This window comes from Homo sapiens, chromosome 11, assembly GCF_000001405.40.
Source record: "Homo sapiens chromosome 11, GRCh38.p14 Primary Assembly".
NCBI lineage: Eukaryota > Metazoa > Chordata > Mammalia > Primates > Hominidae > Homo > Homo sapiens.
Genome location: NC_000011.10, coordinates 23,386,925 through 23,406,612, shown reverse-complemented (window position 1 = coordinate 23,406,612; position 19,688 = coordinate 23,386,925). Strand labels below are relative to the sequence as shown.

Here is a 19,688-nt window from a genome sequence, read left to right as displayed (position 1 = left end):
CTGTGGCATGATGTGGTCGTTCAACCCTGGAACTGGGGGTCCGGGGCAGATCCCAGGTCTCACGAGGTGCGTGTGTGTTCGCATGTAGACGCGTTTGAGAGGATATTCATGGGGGCGAGAGGAAACCAGAACAGGGGTCTTTGGGGTCTTTGCAAATGGCCACCGATGGCAGACATCGCCCTGCCTGGCTGCTAGACGGGGGAATGCTGTCCTCCCCTGTGACCAGATCGGCTGCCACCCGAGACCTGGCTGCTGCCCCTGCTGGACCAGGTGGGCATAGGCTGAAGGAAGACACCCTGTGGTCCCAGAGTCTTTGGGCTGGGGGAAGGGCGGCTAGCTGGCTCCCGGCGCCCTGGCTGTAGTGTGCCCAGCCCCCAAGGGGGCGCTGGTTTGAGGTTTTGGCTTACTCCTATGGAAATGGAAAGAAAGAGGAAGAGGGACGAGGACACAGAGGAAGAAGAGGAGACATAGGTGGCACGAGAGGGGATCTGGAATGCTTTTGTGTTAGGAAGCCTCTGCCGCCACTGTCTGTGCCTGCGGGACCTGGGACTCCTTAGGCTGGGGGTCCGCTTTGGAGAAGTTCATCTCCAGGATGTGCCGCTGTAAGTGCCGCACCTACTCTTCCTGGATAGAGAGGGGGCCCTGGAATTCCACCTCGCAGAACCTGCATTTGAGGACACGTGTAGATGTTGCCCACGAACTTGACAAGTGATGTCAAGGTCACCAGGGAGGGGACTGGCCGGACTCGGGTTGGAGGTTGCCTCACCTCCTCCAGCTTCTGCTGTAGGTCATTGGTCTCCTCACCTCCCCGGGCTGCGGAGGCATCTGCAGGGCGAGCTTGTCGGCGTTCGAATTTGTTGATGTTCTGCGGCTGGTGCTCCTCAGCCTTCACGGTGCCTGGCGGGCTGGCTGCCAGAGGCCTCTTACCACTGTCGACTGCCGCGCCAGCCTCAGGCCCTGCCCCCAGCGCTGCGTCCTACCATGGCCAGGCTCCCAGGTGCCAGCCCCAGGGACGGCCGCTTGTCACTGTCACGGCCATGGATGGCACTGGGGAACTTCTTGGTGAAGGGGCAGCCGCCCTGGATGTAGTTGTGGTAGGTGCCCACCTTCTGGGGCTGGTGCTTGATCTACTCGCTCAGTGTCTCGATGGGCGAACCACTGACGCACCACTCGGTCACGTCGAACTGCCTCAGGTGTTCCCGTGCGTGGCTGGCCAGAGCCTTGCGGTTTTCAAAGTAAAGCCCACACAACTCGCAGCAGGTCTCGGTGGAGGAATGGGAGGTCTTCTCGTGAAGGGTCTTTGCCTTGAAGGGCGGTTCAGTCTGGATGTAGGTCTTGGCCTTGACCTCTGCTGGGAGGAGGCAGTCCTCCTGCAGAGGCCACTTGGCTGCCACTGAGCCCAGGTAGCCAGTGGGTGAGGGCTTGGCCCCAGTGATGGGCTTCAGGCTGAGCTCGCGAGGAAACCTGGGCCGGCCCTGAGCCTGGTTTGCCTGGCCGGCCAGAAGATACCGGCAACGGGCCCAGGGACCACAGTGGGAGGCCCATCCTCAGCCAAGGCCGGGGCCAGGTCTGCAGCCAGTGGCTCCTCCTTGATGAGGCACAGCTTGGACTTCTTGAGGATCTCTCGCAGTGTCAATGGGCGAACCATGGACGGACCACCCGGTCACACCCATCTGCAGCAAGTGGGAGCGTGCGTGACTACACAGGCCCTTGCGGTTCTCAAAGAACCCGCTGCAGAACTCACAGGGGATATTGCGCACCGGCTCTGCCCGGGAAGACAGGTTCAGGGGTATCATGTCTTCCCGTGGTGCCTCCCAGGGACTCTCAGATGGGTGCAGCTCCCCACGAAGGGCCCCCGGCAGCATCTCCCGCTTGATCTCCACCCGTATTTGTTCAGGCTTCAGCTTCTTGGGCAGGGAGTGTGCAGCCAGACCTGGGAACATCTTCCGGGCACGGGAGGAGGAAAGGCAGTTGGTGAGTGGCCCAGGGGTCTGCCTGGTGGCGGCGGCAACTTCTTGGCCAAGGGTGAGATGTGAAGGTCAGAGGGGCTGCGGGTTTCCAGTGAGCTGCCAGGACCTGTGCCGTCCATCATCTTGGCCAGGGCTTTTGGACTTGGCCCTGGCGGGTTGGGAGGTCTGCCAGAGCGAAACTGGGTCCGTCTCTTCAGGATCTCCCACAGTCTGTCGATGGGCGAGCCATTGACGTACCCCCCGGTCACGCCTATTTGCTGCAGGTGGGAGCCCGTGTGGCTCGAGTGGCCCTTGCGGTTCTAGAAGAACTCACCAGAGAACTCACAGCAACAGATTTCTTGTGCTGGCTCTAGGCCTGAGGTGAGGTTCAAGGGCCTGACTGAGGCCACTGTGCCTTTTGGGAGGCCGGCCATGGGCTCGGGGATAGCTCGGGGCTCTTGTCCTCAGGATTCTTAGGAGTAGGGGAGCCCTCCAGGGCCAGTGGTGTCTTTTCAAGGAGCGGAGAGCTGGGAGTTGGCCCAGGCCCTTGGTCGAGAAGCCGAGAGGCAACTTGATGGTTTTGTTGACAGCAGGGGCATCCAAGGATTTGGCCAGGGTAAGCAAGCCGGGCCGGGGTCCCGGGCGACCACCTCCTTCAGCCAGCTGGACTTCTTAGCCAGGCCCGGGGGCAGCCCAAGGTGGGCGTCGGGCATGCTCTTCTGCTTCACAAGCTCCTAGAGGAGGTTGATGGGTACGCCGCTCGTCTCTGACTCTGCCACTCCCAGCTGCCGCAGGTGGGAGCGTGTGTGGATGGACAGGCCCTTTCCGGTCCCAAAGCAGGCGCCACAGACCTTGCAGGTGGCAGGCTCTGGGATCTGAGGTCCTGCAGCTCCTGTTTGCTGCCATGAGGAACCTCTGGAGCCACTTTGCTGCTCAGCCAACTGGCCACCTGCTCCAGGGCCCCAGGGACAGGCAGGCTTTTCTTAGGGAGTGAAGAGAGCCCAGGTCCATGGCCACCATTGCCTTTTCCTCAGAACCCAGGCCTGGCGCTGACTCGGGCTCGGGCCCCGGCTTCCGCCCGGCCTTGGGCCAGTCCCTGGGCCCGTCCCGCGGCGGCGGCGGCGGCGCGGGGGGTGCCGCAGGGCCCGGGCTCGGGAGCCTGGGCTGGGGTGGCCAGGCGGGCGCGCGCTCCCGTCGCGCCCAGCGCGCGGCCCCGCCGCCGCCTTGCTCTCCGCTTCTGTCACGAAACTGGGCGGTGGAGGCGGCCATCTTGGCTCCCTCTTCCTTTTCTTTGAGCATCCTTGAGAGTGTTTTTTGTTTGTTTCATTTTTGTTTTTGTAGAAATAGGTAATATGAGGCCAGCCAATTATTAAGGTAGAAGAAAAATAAATAATAGAGGGGAGTTGGGTGTTCTTCGTAGCTAATTAGAAGATTTTGTTTTAAAATGTCAAACTCGCTGCTAATTATTGTTTACACTAGAACAGAGACATTAATACAATCTATTTTTCTTCTTTTCTTTTTAATTTTTAATTTTTTTTGAAAAGAGACAAACTTTAGAGTTTTGTTCATTGTTAGCTTTGCTCAGGGGAAGGCCACTTTAAAAGGAATTACAATGATGAAAGGGGAAAACCGAGAACTTGACCCAGTATTTCAAAATCTTCAGCAGAGAGGTGCAATTGATCCCAAAGTAATTAATGTCTGGGTAATTGACAGTTTTTTTTTCTTTAATTAAAGTAACCAGTAACCATTTTCTTTTTAGATTTAAGAATTTGGAAATTATATCAGGAAGTCAAAGGAGAAAGGCAATCAGCATTGAGAACAAAAATAAGTTACCAATTTTCTTTTAAAAAATTGATAAACACAAGTATTACATATTGGAATTTTTATGAGGCTCTACCTAATAGATGAGATAGGCATAGATTTTTTTATAAGGCTATGCTATGACAGCAAACATTCTTCCATGATCGGGTTTCTTAAAATCTGATTAGTACATGTTGCAAAATTCTAAGTCCTTCTATTAAGGGTAAAATGTATAGCCCTTCATTAATTCAATAAATTATTATTTAGTAGTTACTATGTACCAAATCATTAACAAAACAGACAATATGCCTATTCTCATGGTACTTAAATTATAGTGTGCAATAAAATTTTTAAAAATACATGTTAATATCATAAGCAGTAATAAGAGCTAACGGGAAAAATAGAGCAGGGAAGAGGGGTGAGGTGCGTTGCAGTAAGACTTCTAAGTTTAAGCAGGTAATTGGGAAGGCCACAAGTAAGTAGTAAGGACCTGAAGGATGTGAGAGATGAAGTTATGTAAGCATCTGTAAGATATTATTCTCGGCAGATTGAACCCTTCAAGGCAAAGACCCCGAAGCAGGAGTTTGTCTGATGATGTATAAAGGATTCAAGTGTCAGCAGAAAGGAATGAGTTAAAGGGAATTGCAGGAGGAGAAAATTCAGAGGAATAGTAATGAAGCCAGATCAGTGAGTCTTGTAAATCATGTAATGATTTTAACTTGAACTTTAAAGGAGGAGGAAGGCACTGAAAGGTTTAAGTGAAGTGATAATATGCTGTCACATTTTAACAGAATGACTTGGCTACTATGTAGTGAATAGGTTTTGGAGGCAAAATTGAACCAGGAAACCCAGTTAGGAGGCTATTATAATTTCTAAGGCAAGAATCTTGGTGGTTTGATCTAATGAGGCATTGGAGATGGTGAAAGTGGTTGAAATACACATAGATTTTAAAGGTAGAGGTGGTAGAATTTAGTCAAAGACACAATTTTAGGTCTGTGTAAAAGAGAAGTATTAAGAATGACTCCAAGATTTTGACCTGAGCAACAGAAAGAACACAATTGCAATTAACTACATGAAGAAGTCATATAGTCATGTAGGAGAAGCAAAACTAGGATGGAAGAAATGTCAGTAACTGAGTTTTGAATATGCTAGTTTTGAGAGACCTAATAGTCATCCAAAAAGTGCATAAGCAGTTCTACATGTGGGTCTGGGATTCAGGAAAAAGAACTGATCTTGAGATATATATTCATCAGTAGATATTATATGAGATGACCTATAAACAAAATGACAAAAATATGAGACAAGGTAGGATACCAGATAATATATGATGCAAAAGCACTTTTACATGGTAAACATTTCTGCCAAACATATTATGGATATTTCTTTGATGTTGAACATCACCTTGAGATTATTTATAAAAAAAAGCACAAATCAGAAGAAAAGATTACAAAGAAATAAAAATAAACTGCATACATTGCCAGTCTCTTTAATTCTCCCTTTCATTTCTAAGCTCATTGTTTATGAGTAAACTAAGACTCTAATAAGTCAAGTTACATCAAGTATCAATAAACTTCAATTTGCACTCACCATGAAGCCATTTGGTGGTTGCTCTTACGTGCACCAAGCTGACTCCAGCAACTAAGCTTGTTTCCAGTTCTATAATCAGATACTTAACCCTTTTTTTGCCTTTTAAAAATAGAGATAATTTGTTTCTTGGCACATCTCATGGAGCTGGTGTTACTGTCTGCGAGATCATGACTAAAAAGCAATTTGAATGTGTCTCTCTCACACACAAAATGTGGTATGTTTTCAAAACAAGTTGCTAAATTTTATGGCCCAGAGTCTAAAGAGAAATCATGACAGTTGGAGAAAAGGGAAAATGTTTTCTTACCTAGAAAAGGGAGTCAAATAAACTATGGTTGCATAATGGTTGAACATTATGAACCATTTTACACACCAAATTGGATAACCTATTAGAAATTGATAGATTTCTAGACACATGCAACCTACCCAATTGAACTATGAAGAAATGAAAAACCTAAACAAACCAATAAACAAGCTTGAATCAGTAATAAAAATTCTGGTTGCACAAAGAGAGCTCTAGCCTTCTCTTAGAGAATTCTTTATGATAGGCAATGATTTCTTAAGTATTTACTAGGCACATGCATTTCTTAATAATGCAGACAAAATACTTAAGGACATAAAGGAACTGGTTCTGGGAAAGGAGCTCTCTCCTTTGTGCCCTAGTTCATGGTACTAATATATATCTAGTTGCTCAGTTTATAAACCTGGGAGTCATTCTAGTCTTCTTCACCACATCAGATACATCACCAAATCCTATTGTGTCCAGAATTGGTGGGTTCTTGGTCTCACTGACTTCAAGAATGAAGCCACCTACCCGGCGGGGCAGGGCGGGGGGCTGCGGGGGTGAGGGGAGGGGAGAGGCTCAGGCATGGCGGGCCGCAGGTCCGGAGCCCTGCCCCACAAGGGAGGCAGCTAAGGCTGGGTGAGAAATCGAGCGCCAGCACTCCTGGGGGACGCAGGCACCCTCCGCAGCTGCTGGCTGGGTACTAAGCCCCTCACCAGGGCCCGCCGAGCCCACATCCACCCGGAACTCGCGCTAGCCCGCAAGTGCCGTGCGCAGCCCGGGTTCCCTCCCGTACTTCTCCCTCCACACCTCCCTGCATGCTGAGGGAGCCGACTCCGGCCTCGGCCAGCCCAGAAAGGGGCTCCCACAATGCAGCGGTGGGCTGAAGGGCTCCTCAAGCGTGGCCAGAGTGGGCCCCGAGGCCGAGGAGGCGCTGAGAGCGAGCGAGGGCTGCCAGCATGCTGTCACCTCTCACTATCAACTCTTCTTTCTTACAATTTGTCTATCCAATTCTTGTCTCTTTCTTTACTGCTTCTCCTTTCTTCATTTCTTTCACCTTGACTATTGTGAACCTCTTACCTAATCTCTGTGCCTTCAGTTTTATAGTTCTCCATTCCTTACTCCATAATCAAAGCATACATGGTTCCACTTGGTCTGGCCTCTAATTCTCCATCCAACCCTGTACCTGTTCACTCTTTCAAGTACAGCCTTTGCTTCAAATATACGAATTATTTTTAGTGCTGAAAAAGTTTAATTCTATTTCACATGTTTGAATTCTGCAAATGTGACTTCTACCCAAAGGGCATTCCTTCTTTTTATATGAGAGGCAGCAATGGCTTTAGAAAAAGAAAAAAATGCTTGTGCTGCAATCCTAGCTCTACCCCTTCCTACGTGGCATGAGCCTCAGTTCTTCATTAGTAAAACAGAGATAACATTATCTATCTTATAGAATAGTTATAAGGACCAAATGAAATAATTAATGCACTTATCATATATTAAGGAATCAATAGTATTAGCCTGTATTATTATGTGTTAGCCAAAATATAACAAGCCTCAAACTGTTTATTTTCTTTTTGTGAAAACTTTCATACCATTCTCACTCTGCCACCACTGTAATTTATCACTCCTTCTTTATACTTCTACATTATGTAGATAATAGTTTAACTTTATACACATTTGAAATTATTGTTTATACATGTGTTTTGTGACAGAACTGTGAGAACTACTTCAGTGTAGTTCTAGGCCTTCAGTATTGCAGTATTCCTATTTCCATGACAAATTTGGCCAAAGAATAAGTACATAACAAATATGTATTGATAGAATATAAGCTTTTTTTCCTCACAACTGTGCATGTTTTCATTCTTCACACTCTAAAATTATTTTTCCATGGAGAACAGTCTTTTGTGTTTAAATTTTAATGTTGGAGCAACTCCTTTCGCACTTATAACAGACTTCTTTATTGACCCATGAAAATAATGTGATTTGTTTAGCTGAAAGTTTCAAAACCTCATGATAGTTACAGCTGAGCATGCTTGAGAGGAGCAACTTATATAAAAATAGGTTAGGAGATTGTGGTTTGCAAAATCTGCTTGGTAACTAAACTGTTTGAGAGCAACATTGATTATTATTTAGTTGTTCCCTGTACAGCTAATTTCATAACTTAAGAGTAAAAAACAATATTTTTTTATTTTAAAATGTGGGTATATATTTACATTAGAAATATACTGAAGTCTTCATACTTGGACCCAGCACATATTTGTCTAAAAAATTACGTTAGTGGATCTCTGTCATTATAATTTAATTACAAAACAATAACAGTATTGCATCTTTGGGTAAATGAACTGTTAAAAGCTCATCAATTTTTAGTTCTTATGGTCAATGCTTTCATTATTGTTTTTGAAATCAGCTTCTCTATAGACTTTTCTGCTAGTTGAAAGAAAAGCTAGTTTTAAATGCATCTTAGGGAGCAGTGATGTCACCAAGATAGTGGAGTAAAAAGTCCTTCCCTTCAGGGTGGCAAGATCCCCTGGTCCTGGGCAGGTCCAGAGATGCTGTCTGGGAGTCAGTGCCTGCAGTCTACCTTAGGAGTCTACCTGGTGCTCTATTCCACTACCGCTGAGCTGACAACTAAGTCACAACACAAAGTCCTTTCCTTTCTTTCCTCCTCTTTCCACAAGCAGAGGAGTAGCTCCCTGTAGCCAAAACAGCCCCAGGACTGTGACAAGTACTGCCTCAGCAAGTATTAGGTCAAGTACCTATGTTTATTCAAGGTCTAAGGGCTCTTCAGTCACCTTGTGGTGAATATTGATTCTTTCCACACACCATGAGCACACCATGAGGCCTTTGCGGGGATGAGGGTGGGGGGCTGAGGGGAAAAGGAGAGATGTGCCATTAGCAACTCATGACTGTCTTTTCTACTCTCTTCAGTGCCTGTTTCAGTGATCACACACCTGATTTTTGGTTCTTATGAAGGTGCTGTGGGGAGGATGATTGGTGAGGGCTTTAATTTGGCAATCGTGCTCTGCCTCCTCTAGTGCTCTCTTCTTTTTTATTTAGCATTTTTAGAAACATCTTTTATTTTTTAACAGCTTATTGAAATATAATGGATATATAAAGAATTTCACATATTTAATTTGATGAGTGTGGACATATGCAAACACCTGTGATACCATCACCACAATCAAGGTCATAGATATATCTAACACCTCCCAAAGTTTCCTCGTGTCCCATTGTTATTTGCTTTTTGTTTGTTTTGTGGTGAGAACACATAAGATGAGATCTACCCTCAAAAAATTCTGAAGTGCAAAATGTATTCTTGTAAACTGCAGGCACTATGTTGTATTCAAATCTCTAGAATTATTCATCTAGCGTTAACTGGAACTTTGTACTGGTTGAACAACTGTAATTCCTTCCCCAGCCCCTGGCAATGACTATTGTATTTCTGCTTTTGTGAGTTTGACTATTTTAGATCTCTCACATAAGTATAATCATGTAGTATTTGGTCTTCTGTGACTGGCTTATTTCACTTACTGTGGCATAATGTTCTTCAAGTTCCTGGTTTGCAGAGGGTTGTTTTCTGGTGGGGGGTGGCGGGGGGGGTGGAGAGAGAAAGAGAGAGAGAGGAAGAAAGAATATGTGTGTGCAAGTGCTGTTATGTTTGTTCTTATAAGGGTACTAATCTCATTCATGAGGGCTTTGCCCTTATTAACTAATTATCTCCTGAAGGCCCTCCTTTCTAATACTATCACACAGGGGATTAGGATTTCAACATATGAATTTGAGGAGTGGCACAGACCTTCATACCATAGCATTCATTCCTTGTTCCACAACCATGAGATATGCCAATGTAAAGTCCCAGGTTTTGGGCTATGCACTGTGTAAAAGTGCCCACTTATAGCTGTTGCACCTTGAGTTGTTCTTTGAAAAAGTTTCAGGAAGAAGCTCAGCCCTGGAGAAACAAAAATTTGTTGGATCCAGAGATACCTGAGTTGGAGATGAACTTTGGCAAACTCTCCTCATTTCTGTACTAAAATTCCCACTGAGGGAGGAACTTATTTACCATTTTCTGTACATGCAATGTATGTGGAAGCATGATTGGCAATGGTGGCTGCACTGCCTTTACTCCACCTCCACATACAATGTCTCAGCTAACCAGCCCAATAAAACCCCTGTTTCACCGATGCTTGGGACGCACTGATTTGGGGAATTATCCCCAGTGTCCTCCTTACTTGCTGCAAGTAATAAAAATGCCCTTTGTTAAAACCTTGCTGGTTGCGGTCATTGGACTGCCACTCACCAAGAGGTTGAACCCGCCTGTTATGTGGGTAATAGCATCCAAAATAGTCAAACTCAGGAAATGAGAGGATAGAATGGTAGTTGCCAGAAATTGGGAGAAAGGAAAAATAGAGAGTTGCTAATCAACAGGTACAAAATTTCAGTTATGGAAGAGAAATAAATTCTGCTGTATAGCATTGCACTTACAATTAACAACACTATATTATATACTTAAAACTTTGTTAAGAGGGTAGAGCTCATGTTTGGTGTTCTTAACACAATAAAACAAATAGGACAGGGAGGTTTAGAATGGTCTATAGTAATCCCCCTCCCCACCATCCCCAACCCTAGTCCTCAACACATTGAAAGAACAACTTTCAACTCATTTAGTTCCTTTTTCCTTGCTAGTTACTTCCATATTTCTAAATAATATGCATATTACCATTACTCATTTTTAAAATATAGACATTATGCATTCACTTCCTAGTGTGTTAAATGAATATTTACCTTTCTTATATACCCTTCCTCATGACCATCCTAAACCCCCTGAACATTTTTCTCTCTCTTTTCTGGTATACCAATTTCATAATTTTTTCATCATTATTTAATGTTTCCATTACTGTAGAGATGTATATGTTATTACATGTATATGCTATTACAGCTGAGCTACATAGAAAACTTTGATTATATTTCCTTTTCTGTTTAACTTTTGTATTACATGGAATTATTTATTGTTCTTCTTTTGATATTTAAAGTTTTCCTTAGTTTGTATGTACCTATGTCTAATGCTTTTTAAAATTTTTAAATTGTTTTTAAAATTTTATGTGGGTACATAGTAGGTGTATATACTTATGAGGTACATGAGATGTTTTGATACAGCCATACGGTGTGAAATAAGCACATCATGGAGAATAGTGTATCCATCCCTTCAAGCATTTATCCTTTGAGTTTGAACAACCCAATTATACTCTTCAAGTTATTTCAAAATAGACAAAATACATTCCAAAGTGTCTGAAACATAGTGTCTGCTTGTAACGAAATAAGATTTTTGAATCTCACTTTATCACCTGTAAAGAATTTTATGCATGTTATCACATTTGTGGTTCACAACAGAGACACAATTTGGTAGAGCCAATTTATTTTATAGATAAGGTAACTAAACTGTAGATGGATTAAGGCAAATTGTCCAAGGTCTGCAATGAGCAAGTGACAGAAGCAGTTCTGACACTAGACTTCCTGAGGACAATTTCTTTCTCATATCCACTGTAACAAAGCAGATTCTCAGCATGGTATTTTCCCTCTTCTGTAAGATTTTCTCATTAGCTACAAGTGTCTGCAGTGGTCTCTAAGGCATCTTATCATTTGCACTTAATACATTGGGGAATTCATGTTATGCATCAAATAATTTTCTGTGTATGATTCTGTGGGCAGCATAAGAGGATCAGTGAATAGCTCTACTTTGATGACTGAACATACACCTTACACCCTGGAAATTGCAATGGACAACTTGATTGGAATGGTGTTGAACTGTAATGAGTCTCACTAAATAAAATGTCTTCCCTGGGAATAAAAAGATTACTCATGAAGAGCAAGAGCTCTAGTGACTTTACACTGTTCCATGAAATACTCAGAGAGCCGAATACAATTGGAAATAGTGAATAAAAAGAATTAAAGAAGCTACTGATAACAAGTCTTTTTCTCCTTTAGAATTTGCATACCTTAGCTTAGTGGGGAGGGCAGAATTTTGCCTCTGTCAAAGAGAAAAACAGGTATGCTGGAATTAGCATGTTCAGCTCTGAATAGTCTTGCTGTCACCATGGCATGAATGTGTTCCCCAAATGAGCTTCTTCACATCTGTTTAAATCTAGTCTATCCATCAAGAACCAGTGCTTGTTCCCAATCCACTCTGTAGACTTAGTCAACCACAAACAATAAAGGCTATGAAACTTAATAGATTAAGCCATATTAAACTACTCATAGTCAATTTTCTTTAGCCTCAAACCCAGAAATTTCATATGTTTTAAATAAATATGTTTCTCTGAATTCAAAATCAATTATTCTTTCTAAACTTTTGGGATCTGGGAGATTGGAGAATATTTTGGAAATCAATTGAATAACCATCCTCTAATCTCTAAAGTATAACACATGCATAAAATGAACTACAAATATGTGTATGTATGCACACATACATATATGTTTGTCTATATAAACATACATTATAAATATGTATATATAGATATATATATGCATATACACATTCTCTGGAGTCTGTGAAATATTATAAATTAATGGGAATCATTGCACTTATTTACCAAGCCCCCTCTTAAGGGCTCCATATATTCTTTCATTTCAGCCCCACAGCCTTGAGAGTTAGGCATCATTGCATCTATTATAGAGAAAAAACAGAAGTTCAGAAAAGCCAAAAAAACTTGATCAAATGAATGTAAATAATACACAGTTTAGCTAGGTCTTAGCTCTTGGTTTATCTGTCTCCAAAAATTCCTGCTATATTTTTATTCCTGACCACTACTTAATTTACACTTCTTAAATTTGTTTTCACATATAAACTCAATAGTTATTCAGGACAGATAATTTATCACATACTATTTCACAGGACAGGTAATTTTTCATGCACTTATTTGCGTTTCTTACATGGAAAAGAATTTGTGTATATAGTTAGGTCAAAACAACACAGTTCCCCATACCTAGCATCAACATGAAACCTGTGAGATTAGCTATGCTATGCAAACTGTGAAACACAAGTCAGAGTTCTGTTTATTTTATGAATTTGTGAACCCCATAATATCTGGCGTAAATAAAACTGAAAACAAGATATAATTTTTATCTAATGTTAAGGTCCCCAATAATTATTCCAGATTATGTCATTCCAATGATAATGCCTCTGCCTATGATGTACAGGTGTCTGTGTCCATGTGGCTGGGGATGTTTATATTGCAAGGGAGTAACCTCATGGCTTTCCGCAGATAGGATCTTTCTGGCTGGCAGCTGTTCAAAGAAAATTTATAATTTTAATCTTTAGTCTTTTCTACATTTCAGAATTATTGCTCTAAATTTTTAATTCAAGTATGAAGAAATGTAGATTAAGTACTTTAGACCTGCAAGAAACCAGAGAAGCAACCACCTAGCCCATTATAGATGATGCTAAGTTGTAGTTCAGAGACTGGAGGCTTCTAGTAAATCCAGTAACTGCATCTTGGGGCTTCTTGATTATGCTAATCTTAATAGTTAGTGTTACTATAGCTGTGGAAGAGGGGATTTCAGAGTTACGAAGGGCTGTTGATGCTCCCAGGACCCTAATACTATATGCCCTGCTGCTCAAATTGAATTGGCTTGGTTGTAAACAGGGCTCTGACAACAATAATGAAAATAATAACTGCTACAATGTATTAAGTCCTCACTCTATAGTTTATGTGCAATATGTCTTTTCTTCTCAGCACAATAGTGAAATACAAAAGATATTATTGTTATCTCTAATTTTTAAATAAGGAAACTGAGACCTAGTGTACTTAAGTAACCTGCCTAAGATCACAATAAGTTACCAGTAACAGAGCCAGAGTTCATATCTGTATCTGTTGACGTCAGTGACTTGGCCATTAATCACTATATTATCTGACCTCTTAAAGTATTTGGAGAAATCAACAATTTGTAAGTATAAAATTTTAACATGATACTTTATTTAAATGTATGTACACAAAAACTTTAACATGTCATCAAAATTATGGAAAATGATGAGAAATAAAAAGAAGAAAATAAGAAATACTGTCAAATCCCACCCACCAAAAGACAACTACTTCTAATACCTTTATACATACCCCTTTAGGTTTTTTTTATATACCTGGAAGCACACCTGGGGAGACAAACAATTGGTCTACAAATGTTCATTATATTTCCCAAACTTTTTAGGGAAAATTAGTATCAGCAATGTAGCCTGTCTGGCTTAATTCATAGGAGGCCAACATCTAACTTTTCTCCTTTATTTTTATTTAATATCTTTTTTTGTTTCTTTCACCTTTAAAACTTAGCTCATGAATTACTAGTAGGGCTATAAGACTCAACTAATTAAATAGTATAGTATTATAATTGAAACAAAAATCATTTATTAATTAAACAACTTGCTGTAAGTATGCTAATATTCTACAATGAAACTATTTGAGACTAGAATGTTGTATTAAATATTTAAACTAGCCATAGGCTACATTCGATGCCTTGGTATAGCTGTGGTTAAACTTTAGGGATGAACTAAACAGAGAAATCTAGTCCAGACAAGATGATGTAGACTCATCTCTCCATATTACCCCCTCACAAAGCACAACTCTTAATGTGAGAAATCAAGTAAGAAATCAACAAAAGGCAATTCCAAGAAGAGAAGAAAAAAAAGTAACTCCGGGAGTAGAGAAACACTATAGCACTATGGCATCCTATAATGCCCCATCTAAAATAGAAAAGCAATCCAGACCCAGTAATTCCTGATGTTTACATTGACATTAAAAGGCCACCTAGGCAGGTTCTTTCTCCCCTGGGGTTGAACAAGAGTCCACCCGAAAACACTAGGTTGAATCAGCAAGAGAGATGGACATATATTAAATCTCAGCAATGAAATAAAATTATTAAAAAATGAACCAGTAACTTTCAGCTTCTGGTTCTGCATGTAAGAAGCTTAGAAGTTGCCACTTTATCTTAACAACAAGTATAAAGCTAAAGAAAATGAAAAATTAACAATTCCTCTTGGATCCCTAAGAGAGGTGAGGATATAGGGCAAACCATTGCACCCAGGACTGGAGAGAAAAAAATGGTGAATACAGGGAGTAACAGCTTATCACAGCAGAAAAGCAGAGACTAACAAGTAAAAACCAACCTGGGAACTAGTGCTTGAGTAGGAAAATCTGAATTCTAGTTGATGAATTGCCTGAGGCTCAGTGTGGACAGGATTGAAAGTTAAAAACTCCAGAAGTACTCAGCCATGGGTGGGGAGAAAATGTGAAATTTATCTCCAGGTTCTCATAGTAAATATCAGAGTAAAATCCCCTCCTCCTTCTGGCAGGGAGAGGGAAAAAGGAACCATTTTGAAATATGCCAGAGTAATCAGTTCATAACAAGGCCTGCCCTCAAGAAACTAGTTAACAAGAACTTAACCTTCTGGGATATTATCAGAACCTAACTGACTGGGAGAAGAAAAACACCTGACTCCAGCTAGCTCCAGCCTTCCATGTGCGAGAAAAGAAATGCCAAACTCTAGCCCACTCTAGTCTTCCAGTCAAACCTAAGGCGGGAGAAAGCTACTGAGAAACAATTGTGAACTTCACATCCCAGAGTATGTGTAGCCTCACTAAAAGACTGAGGCCTCACTGTAGGACTGGAGAATTCATCTCCTCCCCTAACACCTTACCACTATTACTAGAGTCCTATTGACAGCAGTTTGTTTTACCTGTGCATCATATCTGGCTATCGACAAATGAATTACAAGGCATATTCAAAGCCAAAACACACAATTTGAAAAGACAGAGCAAATATGAGAACCAGACATAGAAAGGATGTTGGAATTAAAAGACCAGAAAGTGCAAACAACTACAATTCATATGCTTTAAAAATCTCTTTAATGAAGTAGATAGCATGCGAAAACAGATGGGTAGTCAGATATAAATACCAAAAATAAATGCTAGAGATAAAAAACACTGTAATAGAAATACAGAGTGCCTTTGATGAGATTATTAGTAGAATACACAGAGCTGAGGAAAGAACCTCTGAGTTTGAGAACATATACATAAAAACTTCAAAAACTGAAAAGTGAAAAAAACAAAGACTGAAACAACAACTACAACAACAAACAGAACAGAATATCCAAGGACTGGAGAACTACAAAAGGTGGAATATAGACACACTGAGAATACCAGAGGGAATAAAATCTCTTCTCACCACATCTCAATATCATACTGGAAGTCCTAACTATTGCAATAAGACAATGAAGAAAAGAAAAGTCATTATAATGGGGAAGAAAGAAATAAAGCTGTGTTTGTTCACAGGTGACAAAATCTATCTATGTAGAATATCTGAAAGAATCAACAAATGTCTCCAGGAACTAATCAGAACTTATTGCAAGGTTACAGTATACAAAGCTAATATACAAAAGTAAATTGCTTTCCTATATATCAACAATGAACAAGTGAAATCTGAAATTTAAAAAAAGTACCATTTACATTAGCACCCCCTAAAATGAAATATTTAGGTATAAATCTAACAAAGTAAGTACGATATATATATGCAGAAACTCTGATGAAAAAACTCAAAGAAGAATGAAATAAATGAAAAAATATTCCTTGTTAATGGAAAGACTAAATATTATCAAGGTGTCGGTTTTCCAGTTGTTCTATAGATTCAATGTAACCCCAGTCAAATTTTTAGCAGATTACTTTGTGGATATCAATAAAACTGAATCAAAAGTTTAATATAAAGAGGCAAAATAACCAAAATACCCAAAAAATATTGAAGGAAAAGATCAAAGTTATAACACTGTCACCACCTGACTTCAAGACTTATTGCAAAGCTACAGCAATCAAGACAGTATGGCACTGGCTAAAGAATAGCCATATAGAAAAACTGAATAGAATAGACAACCCAGAAGTAAACCCAATAAATATAATCAACTGATATTTGAAAAAGGAGTAAAGATAGTGCAACTGAGCAAATATGAACTTTTCAACCAATGGTACTGGCACCATTGGACATCCACAGGCAAAATAATAATAATAATAATAATAATAATAATAATAATAATAATAATAATAATAAATCTAGACAAAGGCCTTAGACCCTTCAAAAATTAACTCAAAGTATATCAGAGATTGCAATGTAAAACACAAAACTATAAAACTCCTAGAAGCTAACATAGGAGAAAACCTAGATGACCTTTGGTGTGGCAATGACTTTTAGATACAATAGCAAAGGCATGATCTATAAAAAAAAAAATTGATTACATTGATTAGCTGGACTTCATTAAAATTAAAAACTTCTGCTTTGCAAAATGCAGTGTCAAGAGAAAGAGAAGACAAGCTGCAGACTGGGAAAACATTTTTAAAAACATATTTGATAAAAAGCTGTTACCCAATATTTGAAAAAAATAAAAAGCCCTTCAAAATCAACAATAAAACTAACAACCTGATTTTAAAATGGGCCAAAGAACTTAACAGACATTTCACAAAAGAAGATATATAGATGGCAAATAAGCATGAGAAAAGATGCTACACATATATCATCAGAAAAAATATAAATTAAAGCAATATGATCCAGTATGCACCTATTAGAATGGTCAAAATACAGAACACTGACAACACCAAATGCAGTGAAAATGTGGAGCAATAGGAACTCTCATCTTAGAAATGCACAGTGGTACAGCCACCACATTAGTTTTCTTACAAAACTAAATATATTCTTTTCACGTGATCAAGTATCATAGTCCTCGGTACTTACCAGAAGAAGCTGAAAACTTATGTCCACACAAAAACCTGCACAGAAATGTTTATAAAAGTTTTGTTCAAACTGCCAAAATTTGGAAGCAACCAAGATGTTCTTAAGTAGGTGAATAAATAAATAAATTGTATTATGCCCAGACAATAAAATAGCATTCAGTGCTTAAAAGGAATGAGCTACTGAACCAAGAAATTCATGAAGAAAACTTAAACGTATATTTCTAAGTGAAGTTAGTCATACATATATTCCTTCCTACAGTCTCTAGCCAATCTTTGAAAAGGCTACATACTCTGATTACAACTATATGACATTCTAGAAATGTACAATTATGGAAACACCAAAAAGATCACTGGCTGCCAGAATTTTGTGGAGAAGTAGGGTTGAATAGGTTGAAGCACAGAAAATATTTGTCTATAAATCTATAATCTATGATATTATAAAGGTGAATACATGTCATTATACCTTTATCCAAACCCATAGGATGTGCAACACCAAAAGTAAACCCTAATGTAAACTATTGACTTGAGTGATGATGATGTGTCAATTTGGTTCAGCAATTGTAACAAATGTACCACTCTTGTGGGAAATGTTGACAATGGGAGAAGCCATGCACGTTTGGAGGCAGGGTGTATATATAGAAGAACTTTGTATATTACTTTTAATTTTGCTATGAACATAAAACTGTTCCAAAAAGAATTTCAAATATAAATAAAATAAAATTCTAGGTCGGGCATGGTGGCTCATGCCTGTAATCCCAGCACTTTGGGAGCCCAAGGTGGGTGGGTCACTTGAGGTCAGGAGTTTGAGAACAACCTGGTTGCACCACATGGTGAAACCCCATTTCTACTAAAAATACAAAAATTAGCTGGGAGTGGTGGTGGGTGCCTATAATTGCAGCTACTAGGGAGGGTGAGGCAGGAGAATCCCTTAAGCCCAGGAGGCAGCCAAAATCGCACCACTGCACTCCATCCTGGGTGACAGAGTAAGACTCCGTCTCTAAGATAAGATAAGATAAGATAAGATAAGATAAGATAAGATAAGATAAAATAAAATAAAATAAAATAAAATAAAATAAAATAAAATAAAAAAAAAAAATGTTGTGTAGAAAGAAAATAGAAATAATCAAAGGCAAAAAAAAACCCCACACAAATAAGATTATAGAATGAAAAATACAATAGCAGAAATAAAAACCTTGACCTCAGTAGTAGAGTGAATATGACAGAATGTAGAATCAGTGAACGTGAGAGCAGAGCAATACAATTTACTCAATCTGACCAACAGAGAGAAAAGAGACTGAAAAACAAAATGAATTGAGCCTCAGGGACCTATAGGACATAAAAAAAAATCCAGTATGTGTGTATTTCCAGTCCCAGAAAAAAAGGAGCGTGTTGGAATGAAATTTAAAATAAATAATAGTTGAAAATTCCCAAATTTGATGAAAGACCTAAACCTACAAATTCAAAAGCTAAGTGAACTTAAGTAGGATAAACCTAAATAAATCCATATCAAATGCACTATAATTAAACTTCAAAGAATTAAGACAGAAAAAAGTGAAAGTATGTATTTTTCTATATTCTCTATTCCCCTTCATTAATGTGTCTTTCCCTACACAAATACCACAGCCTTGATTTCTGTAGCTATAAAATGCATCTCGAAATTATAGACTGATTTCTTTTTTTATATATATATTTAGGATTATTTTAGATATTCTAGGGTTGTGCCTTTCCATAGGAAATACACCCATAATATATAATTTGGCAAAAATGCAACAGCAATTCAATGGAAGAAGGATGCTCTTTTCAACAAATGTTGCAGAGCAGTTGGGCAACCTCAAGGGAGGGTAGAGAAGGGAAGATTAAACCTTGGCAACTTAAACCTCATATCATACACAATAATTTCTAAAAGCATTTATACTATATTCTTTTATATTTACATATATTCAATGTTTTATGCTCACATTAAGTTTTACAGCCATATTTAGAATAATTACTTGAAAGTATATTCTATTTCTTAAAAGCTTTGTTTTATATTCCAGAATGTTTTATACAATATTTTACTTTTATAGTCTTGATATTTTTATTTTGTTAAACCCTGTCTAATTGAAGTATATCTTGAGCAATTATTTCAAAAAGGTAAATTGTTTTCTAAAATACGTGTCAGAAAATGACTTATTAACTAAAAATAGATTACAAATTTAAATGCATAATGTAAAGTATAAATAGTTAGAAAAATTCATAGGAGTAGGTTTTCTGGATCTAGAATTAGGATAAAAGTTATTAAAATTGACACCAAAAGCACAACTCATGAAATAA

At 39.8% G+C, this 19,688-nt stretch overlaps 1 pseudogene; it reads right to left on the bottom strand.

Annotated features, from left to right (window-relative positions):
• Positions 1 to 215: 215 nt before the first annotated feature.
• WIZP1 (WIZ pseudogene 1) lies at positions 216 to 2,545 on the bottom strand (annotated as a pseudogene).
• Between the last annotated feature and the right edge of the window lie 17,143 nt (positions 2,546 to 19,688).